The sequence below is a fragment of the Homo sapiens genome, chromosome 1 (assembly GCF_000001405.40).
Source record: "Homo sapiens chromosome 1, GRCh38.p14 Primary Assembly".
Lineage (NCBI taxonomy): Eukaryota > Metazoa > Chordata > Mammalia > Primates > Hominidae > Homo > Homo sapiens.
This window is the reverse complement of record NC_000001.11, coordinates 152,654,919-152,675,278: the sequence shown is the minus strand read 5'-3', so window position 1 is coordinate 152,675,278 and position 20,360 is coordinate 152,654,919. Positions and strand designations below refer to the sequence as shown.

Here is a 20,360-nt window from a genome sequence, read left to right as displayed (position 1 = left end):
GAGATGCTGAAGCTGGATGTGTCTTTTATAGGGCCCAGGCTTGGCTCTGGAAAGAGCAGGAGGTGGCTCTTGCACAACCAGGCACACGCTGGGTCATTCCTGACATTCTCCTGCCTCTTAGTCCCTGCAATCCAAAGAGGCCTCAGGAGCTTCCAGGACTCCTCTCTGGGGCTGCAGTCTAGAGAGGCTGTAGCCAGTCAGAGCCTCCACCAGGTGGGAACCCTAAAGAGTTAACTTAGGGTACCCAAGGGACCCACACCTGGACAAGATTCTGTTCCCTGCATTTTTTTAATGCATGTCCTCTGAGGAAACATCAGTTCTGAGCCACAGCTTTCCCTGACCTTGTGGAAATGTTCCATTATGACTCCCTCCACCCTGAGCAGTTTCTCTTCCATGTCCTGCTGTGGATCCAGCCATCCCAGAGGGCTTCTACAGCCTTGGCTTTTTCTAGGCATCCCTCCCTTGCCTAGGCTCTCAGCCCTTCCTCCTGGCCTCTGTGTTTCTGCTTTTCCTCCGACTCACCATGGCAAGCAGATTCGGTGGATTAAATCTGAGTTGATTCTGTCACCTAAAGCAAGGAGAATGATTGAGAATAAACAATTCCCTCTAAAATCTAAACATTTCCTTCAGTCAGAGGACTTGTATTGAATGTGCTACTGGAATCAGAAAACTTGCATATGATAACTGGGTAATCTCTGAAAGTTGCTGTAACAATTATCAATAATTGCTAGAGTATTACTATGATACTCACTGTGAGTATCAGTTCTCACATATAATGCCCATTATAAACCTATCAGTGAGATATACCTATCTCACTGAGCTGTTTGTAATATAAAGTGAGAAGCAAGAAAGAGCTAAGTATGACATTTTGTGCCTGATAGACCCTTAATAAATATATGTTTAATAGAAAAACTAATGCCATGTATTGGATACTTGCCCCGGTCTTATGTGTCATTAATTGCCCATATAGAGCCCTTACCCTCAGAGAGCTTAACTCCACCAGACACTTAGATTATTTGAAACCTGTCTTGGGAAGTAGACATCATTTCTTGGGGCTCCTATGCAGAGGGAACTCCTTTCCTACCAGGAAGTAGAGGGTCAGCCAGGAATCTAGTTATTCAGAGTTCTGATTCAGGGTTGCACTAGACAGAGTTACCCAGTCATTTATTCATTTAGTTTAAACAGATACATTGAGTGTGAACCTTGAAAACATTACACTACGTGAAAGAAGCCAGTCACAAAAGACTGCATATTGTATGATGTTATTTATATGAAATGTGTAGAGTAGGCAAATCTCTGGAAATAGAAAGGGGATGAGGCTTTAGCCAGTTACAGCCTCTCCCAGGCTGGACCCCTGAAGAGCTGACTCAGGGCATCCGAGGAACAAGAGCCTGGATGAGATTCTGTTCCCTGTATCTCCTTTTATGTTTATGCCTGTCCTCTGAGAAATATCAGTGGCTTCCAGGTGCTTTAGCGGGCTGGGAGATATTGAGAAGTTACTGCCAATGGATACAGGTTTTCTTTGTGAAGTAATGAAAATGTTCTAAAATTATGGTGGTGATTGTCCAACTCTGTGAATATACTGAAAACCATTGAATTTACACTTTAAACAAATGAACTACAAATATGTTAATTACATCTCAATAAAGGTGTTAAAAATTAGAATTGAAAAAAATAGATATTCACACCTCTGATTAAAACAGAAACAGACTGTGCCTTCACATTGCCTAATGCCTACTTAGTGGGGGAGGGGAGGATGCGGAGAAAGCATAGTTTCCCATTGTCAGCTTCTAACTGAGGGATTCTGTTCTCCTAGTTATGCAATCCTATTATCAGATCTGATTCCTGCTCTCAGGAAGCTTTTACCTGAAGGATAAAGTAAGTCAACAGTGTGGTCAGAGCAGTGAATTCAAAAGGCATTCTTTGAAAGCCTACAACGTTCTTGAATCATGTATGTCCAAATATAGGGATATAGAGGTGAATAATAAGTAGCCCATGACCTCAAGGACTGTAGAATTTTTGTAGCCTTTTTGAAGATGACTGCAGACAAACATAGGTCCAAAGAAGATGACGTTTGGGGCCTGAACCTCCTGAGTCACTATTTCCCAGTGTGATTAGAACATGTTAGTTCATTCCACTGTCTTCATGGTGATATCACCCTCAGCTTCCTCATACTCTTTGACAAAGATATTTGTAACAATGTGGTAAGTGAGGAAGTAGGGGAGGCAAGTCTGTGTCTGTGTGTGTGTGTATGTGGGTGTGTGCTCTGTATGTGTGTATGTTGTATTTATACAAAAATTCAGGTAAAATGAACATGCACATACATGAGCGTCTGTATTGAGTGGTTGAATAAGCGATGGAAGAATTAATGGGACCCGATCCCCTGGGAAACCAGAACTGGGAGATAAGCAGCTGTTTAACATGTCCCCTTTGTCCCTTTATATCTCAGAAAATGTTGATAATTAGTTCACAAGTCAGTGAAGAAACACCTGCCTGCAAGTATTCTTGCTTCTGTCTCCACAGCCCTCACATCATCATAGGTGATCCCTCTGAGCCAGAAGACCCCATGTCACATTGTGCATGTTCCCTCAGGGACCAGCCAAACACTTAATTGTCTCATGAGTGTTGGCAGAATCAATGCATGATTGCAGGACCACATGAACAAGTACACAGGTGACATGAAAAGAATGGCCTGGGATTGATTCCAGACATTTCATCTGAAGTTCACCTCATCTGGAAAGTCAGTCTCCTGAAAGCTGATATTTCCAAGTAGCTCCTTGAATTGTCTCCCTGGGAACTTAAACTCCGTATATTCCAGAAAATTATCCCCCACCAAATGCTGGAACTTTATTTTAGCCACAGTACAAGAAAAAGCCTTACCATGTCCCTTGATGTATCTCATCTTATTTAGTAGATTCACTAATCCAAATTTTCCGTTTACTATATCTTTGTAGTCCTTTTCATCTTCTTGTCAACACTGTCTGGCACTGTCTGATTTTGGCCCAGTTTCCACTCCTGAAAGGGTATGTGTGGAGATAAGGGTTTATTGAATTGTAATTTCCAAAAAGTTAAAAGCATGACTCATATAAATATATAGCAGGCATATTATAAAGATTTGTTTCACTTGTTAATAAGAGAATCAGCATGATGGTAATGCTGGTTCAAAGAATAGGAGAGACCAAAAAAATTCTGGAACAAGATTGCAAATTTAGATACAAAACTGGTTAAAGTTTTCAAAGGCAATGAAACCATTAGGTTAAATTTTCTAGAGCACACAAAATAATTTTCAACTTACAAATCTTCTATAATTTAAATCTAGCTTTACAGTGTCTGGGCCTTGATCAATACCAAATACATTAAGTAAAATCATGCCACCATTTTTTTTAAAAACCTAGAGAGTCATATACACCTTAGGCAAGGTTGTTAGTTACTAGGAAGAAGTAAAAATTTAAAAGACTAATCAGAAATCACTTTTTTGCTTAATTTTAAGTTTTGGATAAGTTTAACCCCCAATTTCCTAACAAGAGATGGTTTCTCAGAAACTGGGGCTTCAAAACCCAGGTCCAGAATGGGTTCTTGCTGAAGTCATATTGGCTGATGGACATCAGAGGGGCATGAATTCCAGGCAGAGAGCTGCTGGAGAATTCACGTGTCGTGGTCCTGCTAGAGCTGGGACTCACTTCAGATCTTGGTATTAGCATAGCTTATAAGAGATGTCCCAACACTGCCCCGCATCTGTTTTGCCTCATCTGGGACATGCCATTTTCCTTGCCTGGTTACCAGGGTGAGTTTGCCAGGGGGAGCCATCAAACTGGCTCTCAGCAGAACCATATGGGAGTCTTAAGAGCAACACCGGGAGTATGGAATATGAAAGGAGAAGACGGCCCAGTGATAGGGAGGAGCACAGCAGAGGGGTGTCCTGGGCAAAGCAAGAATTGGCCTGTCTAGTTTGTACATACATGTTTATATGACCTGAAGAGGATGGATTTTATACTTAATTCATCAATTCCATGATACACTCTTCTTACATTTTTTAACAGCCCTTAAATCAGTGTATACCATATGAATGGTGGCATGTAATAGTTGAATTTGCAAAATTTTTATTTCCTTGTGGTGCATGAAATAAGGGTGCCCCTTACAACTGATAGCCTCTTTACGCTCATGAAATATAGTAGGTAGTAAATGGGTCTGTAGATATGAAATGAAATGATGAGAGACAGAAATTGACATTGATTTAGCATTAGTTCTGTTTTCAGAAATGTCACTTCTAACACTTTTAACTTGGGGTTATATGGTTCTTCATAGGTACTATTAGATACTAATGTATTTTATAAACTGTCTGCCAGCACACCATGAATAGGTTTAAAAGGGCAAAATTATGCCCATATTGGCTCTAATTTATCTGACTTATTGCTCGATTCATTTTCAAACTCAGATACCTTGCCAAAACACCACCAGTAATGCCAATGCCTTTAAAGAGCCCTTCACAGTGCCACTCCAGTGCACAGCCCATGTTCACCTCCAGTTCTTCTTGTGTGACTGACCCCGCATGGGAAGCAGCTACAGCTTCATCAGCTCCCAGAGTTCCAGCTACCGTGCAGTGGTCAGCAGCCTTGTCTGTGCTGTACTGACTACACCTCTGTGGAACCAAAGTGCAAAGGCCAAGGGCCTCCCCAGCCACATGCTGCACTCCCTCCCTCCAGTCCTCCTAACATCACAGCCTTGTTGAGACTCATGGGGTTACCAGGTAGAAGGTTCTGTTTTCCCAATATTCTCCAAAGGTCTGTCCAGAAATTTGCCTTTATCCTAAGTGAAAATAAAACCATCATGGCATGTTCTTAGTGTGTCCTGGTCACTGCTGACCCTCTTCTGTCAACAGAAGACCTCTTCTGTCTGTTGGATCATATCTCTAATGACCTCCATGTATCCTCTCAGTCTCTGTGATGGTTAATTTTGCCTAGGCTATCCTATGATATCCAGTTGTTGATCAAACACCAGTCCAGATGTTGCTTTGTATGCATGTAATCAGTAGACTGACTAGGTTGATTATCTTTCCTAACGTGAGCCTCATCCTATCAGCTGAAGCCTTTAATAGCAGAGACTGAGGTTTCCAAAGAAGAAGAAATTATCATCAACACTGCCATATAGAAACTCTGCCTGTTTCCAGACTACTGCCTTGCAGAATTTAGACTCAAGGCTGCAACATCAACTGTTACCTGAATTTCCAGCCTGCTGGCCTGCATAATCATCACAATTATCATGCGATGATTGTGGGGTCTGGCAAGATTTCAGACTTGCCAGCCCCCACAGTCATCACATTAGCCAATCTCCTAATATAAACTTATCCCTCCATCTCTTCTATTTCTCTGGAAATCTCTAACTAAAACAGTTCTCCTTACCTCCATGTCTTCCCCTGAGGTATACATTGAGTGGAACTGTACTTTTGGGTCAACTGCCTCCATATGTATATATACATATATACACACACATCTGTACAAATGATAAAAATAACAAAATGTAATATAATAACTGATGCTTATTGACCACCTATTTTGTTCTAGGTCCTATTTAATTGTTTTATATACATTATCTCATTTAATCCTCATGCCAATTCTGTGATGTAGGTAGTATTAATATCCCCACTATACTAATGAGAAAACAAAGACTCCTAGGACTAAACAAATAGCCCAACTTCACACAGCTGGGAATAAAGTTCAGAAAATTTAACCAAAAAAGATTTTGAGAACTTTAGTATAAGGTCAGCAGGTTTCTGAGAACAAATTTACACACAGCTTAGATACAGTACCATACACACACACACACACACACACACACACACACACACACAATGTCAGACCAACTGTTTGGTCCAGATAGCCAATTATTTTGTTTGGTGGGATGAATTTTCCAGATTATTTATAACTATGCTTTCTAAATCTCTCTCTCATACCAAGTTCCTGACAAACTCATTGTCCATGTAACCTCTCTTTTATGCAATATCTGTGCACTTACTTCCCAATCAAAACAAAGACAGAACCTATAGTTTTTCATGACCCAGACAGCACTATTTATAGGTTATCACGGGATAAAACTATGTTAATTACATATGATCCCTTCACACACATACACCAGTGCCCACACTGCCTATGCCCATTTGTATCCAGTATTTATATCATTTTAATCACTAGAATTAGAAAAATTTTAGTGTTATATGAATAGGTTACATTAATCAAATATTATAATTGCAATCACTGTCTATCCATGCCTTGGGATTCCCTGGAGCAAGGAACTATTTCCAAAGACTCAGTACTGAGCAAATTAGGTAAACATTAGACAGCCTTATGAGAGTAAATGAGAGAAGGATATGATCAGGTGAATTAAAAGAACAGAACATCACTAAAGAGAAAAAAAAACTGAGGATTTTTTGGGACTGTCTTCCATTAGTAAGTTCAATATTCAGAGTTCAAAAATCACTCTCACACACACTCAGCATGTATTGTTGACTATGTAGCAAACTCTGGAGTACAACATGATATAAAAGAAATATAATCTCTGCCCACTGTGACTATATTCTTCAGAAAGGACAGAGGGACATGGGTGAAGAGAAAGGTATGAGAAATCGAGATTTCTTTTGTGCAGTATGGGAACTAGCCCAGAAACATTAGTATACCAGGCAGGAAAATTAGGGGATAGCTGCTTTAAGTCTAGCTTGTTGAGAAGATCTTACCATAAGCTGTTTCAATTTCACACATGGTAAATAATGCAGGCCTTTCCAGTTTAACTCCAGAGAACTGGTTCAGATCACAGACTAAGTAGCTATATCACCTAGAGTTATATTCTGAGTACCAGGTACTTGCCTTAGAACCCTAGAAATGTTCTCAAAGTTGTCTGTACCTCTGTTTTCTCATCTATGAAGTGTGGAAAATAACTGTAATTACCTAATAGCAACATTGTGTGAATTAATTGATCCTTTGGTTGAGTTACACATAAAACACTTATAAGAGTACGTATCTTATAACAAGCACAAAAGTTTAGAATTACCTAATTCTACAATTACTGTACAGAGTTCTGAATTAGGTGTGCAGCTGCAGCAATGCAACCAGCATGGGGGTTGACTAGGATTGAAATCTGACCTAGCAAGACCAAAGAGCAACCATGAAATGGTAACACGGGGAATGTCTTTCTAAATATTAATGGCTTTGCCAATTAATTAGAAGCAGAGGGATAATTGTTTAGAAAAAGCAAAGGTATCCTTATTCTAGGTTTACACATGTGGTCTACTGCTGAATTCACTCTCAGCTTAACTCATGTTGAGATATCCTGAAAACTGAGCCAGCAGCAGGCTTCCTCCCAAGAGCCTGGCAATATGCTCATCCCTCAGTCTCAAGTTTTTCTTAGCACTGGAGATACTGTTCTTCCTACTCTGGGAGCAGCTGCTCCTGGAGTTAGCATGGGCACCACAGAGCCAGCTGACTTTAACTGCAGAGCTGCTGCAGCAGCAGCGACAGAGCCTGGGGAGTCTGTGAGAGAGCAGCGCCGCAGCTCTCGGGCACTGCTATGAAATCTCAGAGGGTCCGAGTTGAGATAACCACACACTCAAGAATCCATCCTGGCCCAAAACTCCTTTTCTACTCTTCCCTCTTCCTGGGATGACCCTTTGGGGACACAAGAGAGTGACCAGGTAGAATTTTCACTCGATGTGGAGGTGAAAGTGCTCTGTGGGGATTCTGGCCCAGGTGACAATACATCTACATTTTCCTTTTCATAATATGTTCTGGTTACTGTTGACTATCCTCACTTGGGTCATATTTCAGATAACCCAACTCAGAGTTAATCATCTGTCACCCTCCAACTCTAGATACCTTTGAAAGAGATGAAGCCATAACACCAAATATGTTTTCTTCTTGCACACTTCTCAGAGTCTCACCCTCTTCCTGCCCTTGAGAGATGATCCAGACCCCTGGTTCTTGGCCCACAGCTGGGTGATGGATGGATTAGAGATGGGGAGACAGGCAGAAGTAACTCTTAGCCTACCCCAGGCATCCATAAGCCAGGTCTTGTGCCTGTCTGCAGGGAGCTCCCCACAGCACTCCAGACCTCAGCCTCACCAGGGAATTCCCCTGCCTAATCAACCTTCCATGCAGGCTTGCCTCAGTGCATACAGCAGAGCCCATGGAGGTGGAACTGTGGGCAGGATGTTCCTGAATGTTTGTGTTAAGAGGTAATTGAAGTGCACTCAGAGAGTCTGTGTCACTATTTCGAGATAACCAGCAATCCAGCTGTCTTTACTCAGCAGGTCAAACTGTATAGAAAATTACTTAATTGGATAGTGCCCAACATACATGCCCCCTTCATTCTTAACTTATATCTTTAAATTTTGACCAGAACCAAATCATGTTCAGATATCAAAATTTACACTTCTCCATCCCCCTTGTATGTACAAGCAGCCAGTGAGATTCAGGAAATTGTTGGGACTTTAGGAAAGCTCAGGTAAGAGGCTTTACTGGGGTCAGGGCCTTTTACCCACCCTTTCTCCTTCTTCCTACCTGAAGCACAGCCTTGCAGATCAGAACTCTATCAGGCACCTCGAGATCACCAACTACCTCCCAGGAAACAACTGCTAACAATGAATTGACAAGACATAGGGGTATCCATCTTTGAAGACTCCAGGGAACCACCGTACCAGCCATGGACCACTGACCTCTGACTTCATCATATGTGAGTGGAAATAGTCTGCTTTCCTTTTTAAATTGCTGTAATTTTGAGTTCCTCTGATAGCATCCGAACATAATTTTCTAACACACCTGCACACATGCCAAACACAAAGTAAGATGCAGCTAAAAACAAATGTTAGAATGGATAAAGAAAATATGGCACATATGCACCATGGAATACTATGCAGCCATAAAAAAGGATGAGTTCATGTCCTTTGGGGGGACATGGATGAATCTGGAAACCATTATTCTCAGCAAACTAACACAGGAACAGAAAACCAAACACTGCATGTTCACAATCATAAGTGTGAGTTGAAAAATGAGAACACATGGACACATGGAGGGGAACATCACACACCAGGGCCTGTCAGTGGGTAGGGGGCTAGGGGAGGGATAGCATTAGCAGAGATACCTAATGTAGTTGACAGGTTGATGGGTGCAGCAAACCACCATGGCACGTGTATACCTATGTAACAAACCTGCACGTTCTGCACATGTATCCCAGAACTTAAAGCATAATTTAAAACAAAAAAAGTTAGATGGGAAATTATTCTGTGTATGGAGGGTTAGATAGAGAAAGGAAGTTGCTCACTATGAAAGGAGCACATGGAGGCCCAGATAGCAGGCCCACTGGGGAAGGGAATGGCCGGTGGGTTGCTCTTACTTAAGGCAGAGGTCCCTGAAAGCACACTTGGGTGTCCACCTCTCTGTAGGCCAGCCTTCAACTGCCCCGGGCAACCTTAGGTCCCATGCTTGGCACTCCATTTTGTACTGTTTGGTTTTTTCATTTGTTTTGCTGCTCACATGTAAACACTAAGGACAAGGGAAAACTTCTTAACCAACTCAGGAAACCCTGAAGCTATAAAAGCGAAGAAAGTCATATTTGAGTATATAAAAACTAAAAATCTTTCCATAGCAAAAGCTATTATAAATGGATTCAATTAAATCTGATGCATTAAATATTTTAATAAACACAGATCAAGGTTAATATCCATGATATATCAAGAGCTCTTGAAAATTGAAAAGAAAATTTAAAATCATATTACAAATTTTGTAGAAATGGCCAATGTACATATTTTTAGAAGCTCAAAATTACTACTGGTCAGGGACTTGAAAATTCAGTTAATAATGAGACTGGAAAAAATAATGAAGAGCATCAAGTCAAATAAACTGACTCAGTGCAGTGGGTGATTTAAAATGCGGAGAGTACAGAATCTCAGACTGGTTAAACAGCTGGGTGTTTGTCTTAGCAGCAGTAAGGATGAGGAGGCAGATGAACATCTTAATAAGAGACTCCACCTCTGACAGAATCTCTCTGCACTGAATCCATCATCTTCATGTAGACACCTGTCAGCCTGAACCTAAGAAGCACTAGTCCTTATTTCCCCCTGCTGTGTCCCTTTTCCCTTCACACTGAGAGGAAGAGACGCCAGGTGTCTGAGAGAGCAAGTCAAGAAGTGAATCTTAACCAGACTCACCCTCCTGGGAAGGGAGTTCACTGACCATGGGCTGTACTTTGCAGGAGGAGGGGTCTCAACATTCGTTTCAAGCATTTTATTCAACTATTGATTCGAACAGCAGGGAAGTTTTGCTTCATAGAGATGTGTTCTTCTCCCTAGAGAAGAACAAGTCTACAGAGCTTCCCAACCTTCCCAATGTCTGGAATACACAGAAAATTAGAACATATGTCTGGCTTAGTGGGGACAAAGTCAAAGCTGCCGTTGCCAGAGGTGATCATCTTGGAGCTCCATCTACCCTGCAGTTGGGGTAATCAGTTCCTCGGAGCAGCCTTTCATGTATCACTTGCTCATGTCCTGTCCTTGCCTCATGAAGAGAATTTCTCTGGGGCCCTGACCGTTAGAAGACATTAGAAATCTCAGAAGAGAAGAGTATGACCAAGACATTTAAAGAGTCAGAAATCAGAGCTTTATTACAATATGAGGTAAAGGAGAAAAAGAAGGCTTCCATCTGGGGTGCTCCATCAAGCACAAAGTTCTGGGGAAGCCCCATGAGTCTTTGTGGTCCCTGTCCACCCATGAGTGGAATGAAAGGAAGGGGAAATAGTTAAGCATCAGGCTGTAGCAGGTTTTTGACCATTCAGTACCAGAGCTCTTCTGCAGCCCAGGTCAGCAGCAGCCCCCAGAGCTGTGGCAGCAGCCAGAGGCCCCAGAAGGTTCACTCTCACAGCAATCGGGGCTCTGGTGCCGGCGCCGGTGGAAGAGACGGGGCCTGTGGTGGCTCAGGCAGCAGCCACCACCCCCAGAGCTGCAGCAGCCCCCAGAGCTGGGACCACAGCAGCTCCCAGAGCTGGGACCACAGCAGGAAGAGACTGCAGGGGAACATGGAGCTGGGCACTGTGGTGGGCATTTGGGGGGACACTTAGGTGGACATTTTGGGGTACACTTGGGAGGACATTTGGGAGGGGGCTGGCACTGCTGCTGGTTTTGCTGGCAAGACATCCTGGCAGGAGTTTAGTCAACCTAAAAGATAATAATGAAACTCTTTAAATATTTCAAACCAAAGGTCATAATTATGCCTCCTCTAAAATCAATGCATGTGTAGAAGAAGAATGATATTTAGGTAATACAGTCACATCAGTAACCTGAAAGAAACAACTTGAATCTTTCTTCCAGATAAAAGTACATAGATTAAAAAATCAACAGAATGAGCTTCATATTCTTCCTTTCAGAGGGAAGCTGGGATTGCTCTATCTTCACAAGCCTGAATAGAGTATTCACAGCTCCATGAAGTACCTGTTCTCTTAATACAAGCCCCAGCGCCCAGATGGGTGCTGTAGACACACCAGGGATCCTCTGGAAAATGTTTAGCCATGAAAACTCCAGGTAAAAGGGCCTGGCCTGAAGCATTTGACAATTTCCATGGTGCAAATCTGCCCAAGATGGCCAACATGAAGTCATTGAAGACAGAGTTGGGAAAGATGGGCACAGTTAGCTATTCCCTTCTACGTGAGCTCCAGCAAGTCCCAGAGCTTCTAGAGATTTGAGGCAAACTGAGTCCTATTCCTGCTCAGTATGGGAGAACACAAGCGCACAACTATCTTTCTCCAGCCTACCTCCATCCTCCCCATCCCTCTACCTTGCTAATACCCTTCTGGTATCCCAGGTTGCCACTCACCCTGGTCACATGCAAAAGCACAGACACGTCCCTGGGGAGTCAGAGCAGATGAGGTGCTGAAGCTGGATGTGTCTTTTATAGGACTCAGACTTGGCTCTGGGAAGAGCAGGAGGTGGCTCTTGCACAACCAGGCACGTGCTGGGTCATTCCTGACATTCTCCTGTCTCCTAGTCCCTGCACCCAAAGAGGCCTCGGGAGCTTCTAGGACTCCTCTCTGGGGCTGTGGTCTAGAGAGGCTTTAGCCAGTCAGAGCCTCCAGCAGGTGGGAGCCCTAAAGAGTTAACTTAGGGAACCCAAGGCACCCATGCCTGGACATGGTTCTGTTCCTTGCATCTTTTTTATTCCTGTCCTCTGAGGTTACATCAGCTCTGAGCCACAGCATTCCCTGACCTTGTGGAAATGTTCCATTATGACTCCCTGCACCTTGAGCAGTTTGTCTTCCATGTCCTGCTGTGCATCCAGCCATCCCAGGGGGCTTCTACAGCCTTGGCTCTTTCTAGGCATCCCTCCCTTGACTAGGCTCACAGTCCTTCCTCTCGGCCTCTGAGTTTCTGCTTTTCCTCAGACTCATCATGACAAGCTTTCACTGAATTAAATCTGAGTTGATTCTGTCTCCTAGAGCAAGGAGAATGATTGAGAATAAGCAATTCCCTCTAAAATCTAAACGTTTCCTTTAGTCGAAGCAATTGTATTGAATCCATTGCCGGAATCAGGAAACTTGCATATGATAACTTGGTAACCTATAGAAGTAGCTAGAACAATTATCAACAATTGCTAGAGTGTCATTATGATACTCACTATGAGTATCAGTTCTCATATGTAATGGCCATTATAAACCAGATATACCTATCTCACTGAGCTGTTTTGAATATTAAATAAGAAGTAAGAAAAAACTTGGTACAACACTATATGCCTGATAGACCCTTAATAAATATGTGTTTCAAAGAAAACTAATGCCATGTGTTGGGTACTTGCCCAGGTCTTATGTGTCATTAATTGCCTGTATAGAGTCCTTACCCTCAGAGGGTTTAATTCAATCAGACACTGAGATTATTTGAAACCTCTCTTGGGAAGTACACATCATTTCTTGGGGCTCCTATGCAGAGGGAACTCCTTTCCTACCAGGAAGTAGAGGGTCAGCCAGGGGTCTAGTTATTCAGAGTTCTGATTCAGGGTTGCACTAGACAGAGTTACCCAGTCATTTATTCATTTAGTTTAAACAGATACATTGAGTGTGAACCTTGAAAACATTACACTAAGTGAAAGAAGCCAGTCATAAAAGACTGCATATTGTATGATGTTATTTATATGAAATGTGTAGAGTAGGCAAATCTCTGGAAATGAAAGGGGATGAGGCTTTAGCCAGTTACAGCCTCTCCCAGGCTGGACCCCTGAAGAGCTGACTCAGGACATCCGAGGAATGGGAGCCTGGACGAGATTCTGTTCCCTGTATCTCCTTTTATGTTTATGCCTGTCCTCTGAGAAATATCAGTGGCTTCCAGGTGCTTTAGCGGGCTGGGAGAAATTGGGAAGTTACTGCCAATGAATACAGGTTTTCTTTGTGGAGTAATGACAATGTTCTAAAATTGTGGTGGTGATTGTCCAACTCTGTGAATATACTGAAAACCATTGAATTTACACTTTAAACAAGTGAACTATACAATATGTGAATTACGTCTCAATAAAGATGTTAAAATTAGAATTGAAAAAAATATTCACACCTCTGATTAAAACAGAAACAGACCGCGCCTTCACATTGCCTAATGCCTACTTATGGGGGAGGGGAGGATGCGGAGAAAGTATAGTTTCCCATTGTCAGCTTCTAACTGAGGGATTCTATTCTCCTAGTTATCCAATCCTATTATCAGATCTGATTCCTGCTCTCAGGGAGCTTTTACCTGAAGGATAAAGTAAGTCAACAGTGTGACCAGGGCAGTGAATTCAAAAGGCATTCTTTGAAAGCCTACAACATTCTTGGATCATGTATGTCCAAACATACGGATATAGAGGTGAATAATAAGTAGCCCATGACCTCAAGGACTGTAGAATTTTGGCCCTTTTGAAGATGACTGCAGACAAACATGGGTACCAAAGAAGATGACGTTTGGGGACTGAACCTCCTGAGTCACTATTTCCCAATGTGATTAAAAGATGTTAGTTCATTCCACTGTCTTCATGGTGATATCACCCTCAGCTTCCTCATACTCTTTGACAAAGATATTTGTAACAATGTTGTAAGTGAGGAAGTAGGGGAGGCAAGCCTGTGTGTGCGTGTGTGCATGTGTGCACTGTATGTGTGTATGCTGTATTCATATAAAAGTGCAGGTGAAATGAACATGCAGATACATGAACATCTGTATTGAGTGGTTGAATAAGCAATGGAAGAGCTAATGGGATCTGATCCCCTGGGAAACCAGAACTGGGAGATAAGCAGCTCTTTAACATGTCCCCTTTGTCCCTTTATAACTCAGAAAATGTTGAGAATTGGTTCACAAGTCAGTGAAGAAACACCTGCCTGCAAGTATTCTTGCTTCTGTCTCCACAGTCCTCACACCATCATATGTGATCCCTCTGAGCCAGGAGACCCTGTGTCAAGTTGCCCATGTTCCCTCAGGGACCAGCCAAACCATTGCCACACGAATGTTGGCAGGATCAATGCATGATTGCAAGACCTCATGAAGGAGCACATAGGTGTCATAAGAAGAATGGCCTGGGGGTGATTTCAGACATTTCATCTGAAGTTCACCTCATCTGGAAAGTCAGTATCCTGCAGGCTGGTCTCTCCATGTAGCTCCTTGATTTGTCTCCCTGGGAGCTTAAACTGCATATATTCCAGAAAATTATTCCCCATGAAATGCTGGAAATTTATTTTAGCCACAGTACAAGAAAAAGCCTTACCATGTATCTTGATGTATCTCACCTTATTTAATAGATTCACTAGTCCAAATTTTCCCTTTACTATATCTTTGTAGTCCTTTTGATCTTCTTGTTGATACTGTCTGGCACTGTCTGGTTTGGGCCTGTTTTCACTCCCAAAAGAGTAAGTGTAGAGATAAGGGTTTATTTAACTATAACTTCCAAAAAGTTAAAAGTATATTTATATATGTTAATATATAGCAGACATATATCAAAGATTTGTTTCACTTGTTAATAAGGGAACCAGCATGATGGTAATGCTGGTTCAAAGAATTGGAGACAACAAATTATATACAGTCAGAGGAAAAAATTCTAAAACAAGATTGCAAATTTAGATACATACTGGTTACAGTTTTAAAAGGCAATGAAACCATGAGGTTATAAATCTTCTGTAAGTTCAATCTAGCTTTACAGAGTCTGGGCCTTAATCAACACCACATATTGTAAGCAAAATCATCCCACCAATTATTTTTAAAAAAATCTAGAGTCTTATAAATCTTAGGCAAGGTTGTTAGTTACTAGGAAGAAGTGAAAATTTAAAAGACTGATCCGAAATTACTTTTTGGCTTAATTTTAAGTTCTGGACAATTTTATCCCCTAATTTTTAACAAGAGATGATTTCACAGGAAAGTGGGGCTTGAGAACCCAGGTCCAGAATGGCTCTTTGCTGAAGTCACATTTGGTGATAGACATTAGAGGGCCATGAACTCCAGGCAGAGAACTGTTGGAGAATTCATGTGTCGTGGTCCTGCCAGAACTGGGACTCATTTCAGGTCTTGATATTAGCATAACTTTTAAGAGATTTCCTAACACTGTCCTGCATCTGTTTTGCCTCATCTGGGACCTGCCATTTTCCTTAGCTGGTTGCCAGAGTGAGTTTACCACTGGGGGCCATTGAACTGGCTCTCGACAGAACCATGTGGGAGTCTAAAGAGCAACACCAGGAGTATGGAATACGAGAGGAGAAGAGGTCCCTGCTATAGGGAGCAGGACAGCAGAGGGGTGTTCTGGGCAAAGCAAGAATGGCCCATCTAGTAACTACATACATATTTATATGACCTAAAGAAGATGGGTTTTATACTTATCTTAATTCATCAATTCCATGATACACTCTTCTTACATTTGTTAACAGCCCTTAAATCAGCATATAGCATATGATTGGTGGCATGTAATAGTTGAATTTGCAACATTTTTCTCTTTCCTTATGATGCATGAAATAAGGGTGCCCCTTACAACTGATACCCTCTTAAAGCTCATGAAATACAGTAGGTAGGAATTGGGTCTGTAGATATGAAATGAAATGATGAGAGACCGAAATTGACATTGATTTAGCATTAGTTCTGTTTTCAGGAATGTCACTTCTAACACTTTTAACTTGGGGTAATATGTTTCTTTACAGGTACTAATTAGATACTAATGTATTTTATAAACTGTCTGCCAGCACACCGTGAATAGGTTTAAAAGGGCAAAATTATTCCTGTCCTGGCTCTAATTTATCTGACTTATTATTCAATTCACTTTCAAACTCAGATACCTTGACAAAACACCGCCAGCAATGCCAATGCCTTTGAAGGGCCCTCCGCAGTGCCACTCCAGTGCACAGCCCATGTTCACCTCCAGTTCTTCCTGTGTGACTGACCCCTGCATGGGAAGCAGCTCCAGCTACTGTGCAGTGTCAGCAGCCTTGTTTGTGCTGTACTGACTATACCTCTGTGGAACCAAAGTGCGAAGTGCAAAGACCAAGGGCCTCCCCAGCTGAATGCTGTGCTCCCTCTCTCCAGTCCTCCTGGTTTTATGCAATATCTATGCACTTACTTCTCAATCAAAACCAAGACAGAACCCATCATTTTTCATGACCCAGAGAGCACTATTTATAGACTATCATGGGATAAAACTATGTTAATTACATATGATCACTACACACACACACCAACACCCTCACTGCCTATGTCCATTTATATCCAGTATTTCTATCTTCTTAATCACTGGAATTAGAAGAATTTCAGTGTTAGATGAATAGGTCACATTAATTAAATATTATAATTGTAATCACTGCATATCTATGCCTTGGGATTTCCGAGAGCAAGGAACTATTTTTCAAAGATTCTGGCTGAGCAAATTAGGTAATCATTAAGCAGGTCTTACAAGAGTAAATGAGAGAAGGATATGATCAGGTGAATTAAAAAAAAAAACAGAACATCTCTAAAGAGAAAACAATTTGAGGATTTCCTGGACTGTCCTCCATTAGTAAGCTCAAAAATCAGAGTTCATTAATTCACTCTCACATACACTCAGCAAGTATTGTTGACTATGTGGTCAACTCTGGAGATACAACATGACGTGAAGGAAATATAATCTCTCCCCACTGTGACTGTGTTTCAATGTAGAGACAGAAGCTTGACAAATAAAAGAAAATATATAATTACTAATTATAAATAGTTCTCAACTTACCATCGTAAGTTCAACTTAGGATTTTTCAACTTTATTATTTCGGTAGAAATTATACTTGGGATTTTGAATTTTGATATTTTCCAAAGCTAGCAATACATCCTATAAATGAAAGTCTGTGTTGATGCCTGGCATGCTGCTGCAGCTCCCAGTCAACTATGGGGTTGCAAGAGTAAACAGTCAATACTCTATGGTGTACGCTGTTGCCAGATGATCTTGCTCAACTATTGGCTAATGTAAGTGTTCTAAGCCTGTTTAAGGAAGGCTAGGCTAAGCTATGATGTTTGGTAGGTTAGTTATATTAAGTGTGTTTTTGGCTTAGGATATTTTCAACTCGCCATAGGTTTATCTGGACATAAACCCATCATAAGTTGAGGAACATCTGTATAGGCATTCAGGTGGGTGGAACTATCCCACTGCAGGTTTTCAAATGTTGCTAGGAATTCCCATTGAGACCTAACCTTATTTCTCAAGGCCTTTCCTAACTGACTATTCTGGAGGTCCAACAGAGGTGAGTACTAAGATTGCTTAATAGCTCTCCACCACATCAATCAGAAGGGTCTGTAGGCTGGAGAAACTGTAAGCTGGATGTCTTTGAGACATCCCCACCCCGAGGCTGTAAGAGTGAAAAGGACAAGGAAGAACCACATAGGCATCCTCTCCGGCTCACTGCACATTTGGAAATGGGCTTCTATTTTGATGTGTGGTTGTCAAGAGGGCTTAATTCAATTAGCTTTACCTGTGCATGAGAAGGAACAAAGAATCAGAGCAGGGGATAATATGCTTCCTTCATTTGGACTCAGGGAAACCATGGCATTCCTCTGCAGAAATCCTCTTTTATGTAACAGCTAGCTCCGCCACAGAGACTGAGCACAAAATTATACATTTATCTCATATTTTATCGTAAGAGCATTTAGGAAACAATGTCTTTTATATGCAAGGACATTTTCTTTCATAGTCACCTAAAAGACAATTATTTAAAGGAATATTTTGAACATATTATAGTAATATTTTCCCCGATACACCATTATATCCTTAATTTATTTATTTCAACAGTGTGTTCATATTTTAGGTTATTTATTTCATCTTATTTTATTTATTAAAACAAAGCATTTATGTATTTTTAAAAGTTAATTTATGTTGGAGGGTTGATTTTTCTTCTATTCATCCAAAGTTAGGAACCTTAGCAGTGTATTCAGGAAGAAGAAATGGGAATTGGTAAGTAGATGGAAACATAAAATATTTAAAAATAGAAGCAAGGAAACTTGAAAATATTTATTGTGGCAAAGCAGCTTGTTCAGAGCAATCACATCCAAACTTCAAGAGAGCAAATTTTTGAGCCCAGCCCCAAGCCACTGTGCCAATGGCTGCTTCTGAGACACACCTCAGGCATAGCAATGCTCTGAGGCAAGAGCTCTTGAAGGTATGAAAGGCACTGATGAACGAGATGCATGAGACTGGTGCAGGTTGTTGGTGTTTCGGTTACTCAGGTGATGCTCAAAGTCCTGGTAGCAGCAGCCCCAAAGCAATAGCTGGAGCTCTGATGCCAACATCAGCTGAAGCCACAGCAGCCCCAAAGCTAGGCCCACAGCAGTCCCAGAGCTAGGCCCACAGCAGGAAGAGACTTGAACAGGGCACCTTAGGAGGGCTCTTAGGGGGACATTTTGGGGGGCACTTGGTAGTGGGCCCTTTAAGAGGAGGCTGGCACAGCTGCTGGGTTTGCTGGCAGGACATCTTTGTGGGAGTTCAGTCAACCTAAAAGCCAATAGAGGTGTTTTATAGACTTGTTAAATCTTAGATCATTGTTTCCTCCTTTGGAATCTACCCTGGGGCTGCTGACATATTGAACAAATCATAACCCCCCACCCTCCCCCACACACACACAGTCAAGCCAAAGCCTCCATCTTGTTCATTTCTCTGTCTCTAAGATATGGCACAGTTCTTGTCACATAGATGATGTCCAATAAATGTAGATTTCCCCCTGAAATGGAAGCACCACAAGAGCAGGGATTATCCTCCCCTCTTTTGCATACTTCTATATTCCAATGTCTAGAATAACACCAGGTAATTAGTAGGAGCTCAATAAATAGCTGGTGATATAGGAATAATATATGAATGAATAAATAAAGGAGAAAAGAAAGGTAGCCAAGAAGGGAGGGAGGAAGAGATTGGGGAAGGGAAGGAGGGAGGGAATTATATCTGAGGTAGAGGAAAGGATACCAGTTGGCATTTCATGGTAATATTGGGTATTGCCATTTTCTCTGTGTGCCTCTGCCATCTTCTCTAAGCATCTAGAAATGGATCTATGAGATGTGAATAGCGTGGAATAATCCCTCCCCAGCCAGCTGACTCAGTTGCCAGAAGCCAGATATTGGCAAGAATTTGGATTGGCTAATCCCTCTAATTCCCAGGGACTCTTAATTCCCAGGCTGGATCTTCCTAGGCCAACATCTCTCCTCCTATTACCCTCTTTTTTCCTGTCTTTCCTTTCCCCCTGTGATTTTCAACAGCTACTTACCCTTTCAGTTGTGCTCTGTCTAGGTTCCAAAAGATCCACTCACCCTGGTCAGACCCAGGTGTGGAGCAGGCAGTCCCCAGGGTGTCAGGGCAGATGAGAAGCGGGGTCCTGACACACATTTTATAGGCAGGCACTCGCCTGACTGGGCCTTAGTGAGCCATGGTTCTGGGTGGAGCAGGAAGTGGTTCCTCCCATACTGGGGCATCTGCAGGGTAATTCCTGACATTTCCCTCCCTGTCTCTTCAATCCATCCTTCCCAGGGAGATACTGAGTTACTCTTCTGAAGCTAGAGAACGAAATCTCATCAAAGTATATTATTTCCTAGGCTGGGACTCCATAAAGCGGCATAGGATTCCTGACCCTTGAGACAAGAATCTGGTTTCTCAAGACTCTATGGTCCTGTTCCTTCTTGGAAATAAATAAATAAGTTTCCTTTCTTCCTAATTCAGTCTGTGATCCAGCTTCTCACTCTCTTTCTCTTTTCAAAAACATATATTAACTGTAACTTTTTAAAGAGGATTCTTTTTTTAAATGTTTTTTCAAAATAAGGGATCCTATTGCATTCATTGAATGTCGGTGTTCTCCCTGTCTATCAAAGTTCTTCTGTAAGAACTGGATACTTACACTCT

The 20,360-nt window shown here is 41.8% G+C and overlaps 1 protein-coding gene, 1 long non-coding RNA gene and 1 pseudogene across 2 annotated transcripts; all 3 read right to left on the bottom strand.

Moving 5' to 3' along the window:
- Positions 1-10,619: 10,619 nt before the first annotated feature.
- Positions 10,620-11,899, bottom strand: LCE2D (late cornified envelope 2D). The gene is made up of 2 exons (NM_178430.4): positions 11,850-11,899; positions 10,620-11,194 (listed from the first exon to the last, which is right to left on the bottom strand). Exon 2 carries the CDS (start codon positions 11,171-11,173, stop codon positions 10,841-10,843), a length of 333 nt encoding a protein of 110 aa, NP_848517.1. The 5' UTR covers positions 11,174-11,194; positions 11,850-11,899; the 3' UTR covers positions 10,620-10,840.
- A 6,575-nt stretch (positions 11,900-18,474) lies between these two features.
- Positions 18,475-19,802, bottom strand: LINC00302 (long intergenic non-protein coding RNA 302). Its single transcript, NR_145430.1, has 2 exons — positions 19,732-19,802; positions 18,475-18,968 (listed from the first exon to the last, which is right to left on the bottom strand). It is a non-coding gene; the product is annotated as a long intergenic non-protein coding RNA 302 (long non-coding RNA).
- On the bottom strand, positions 18,768-18,947 carry LCEP3 (late cornified envelope pseudogene 3; annotated as a pseudogene).
- Positions 19,803-20,360: the final 558 nt, after the last annotated feature.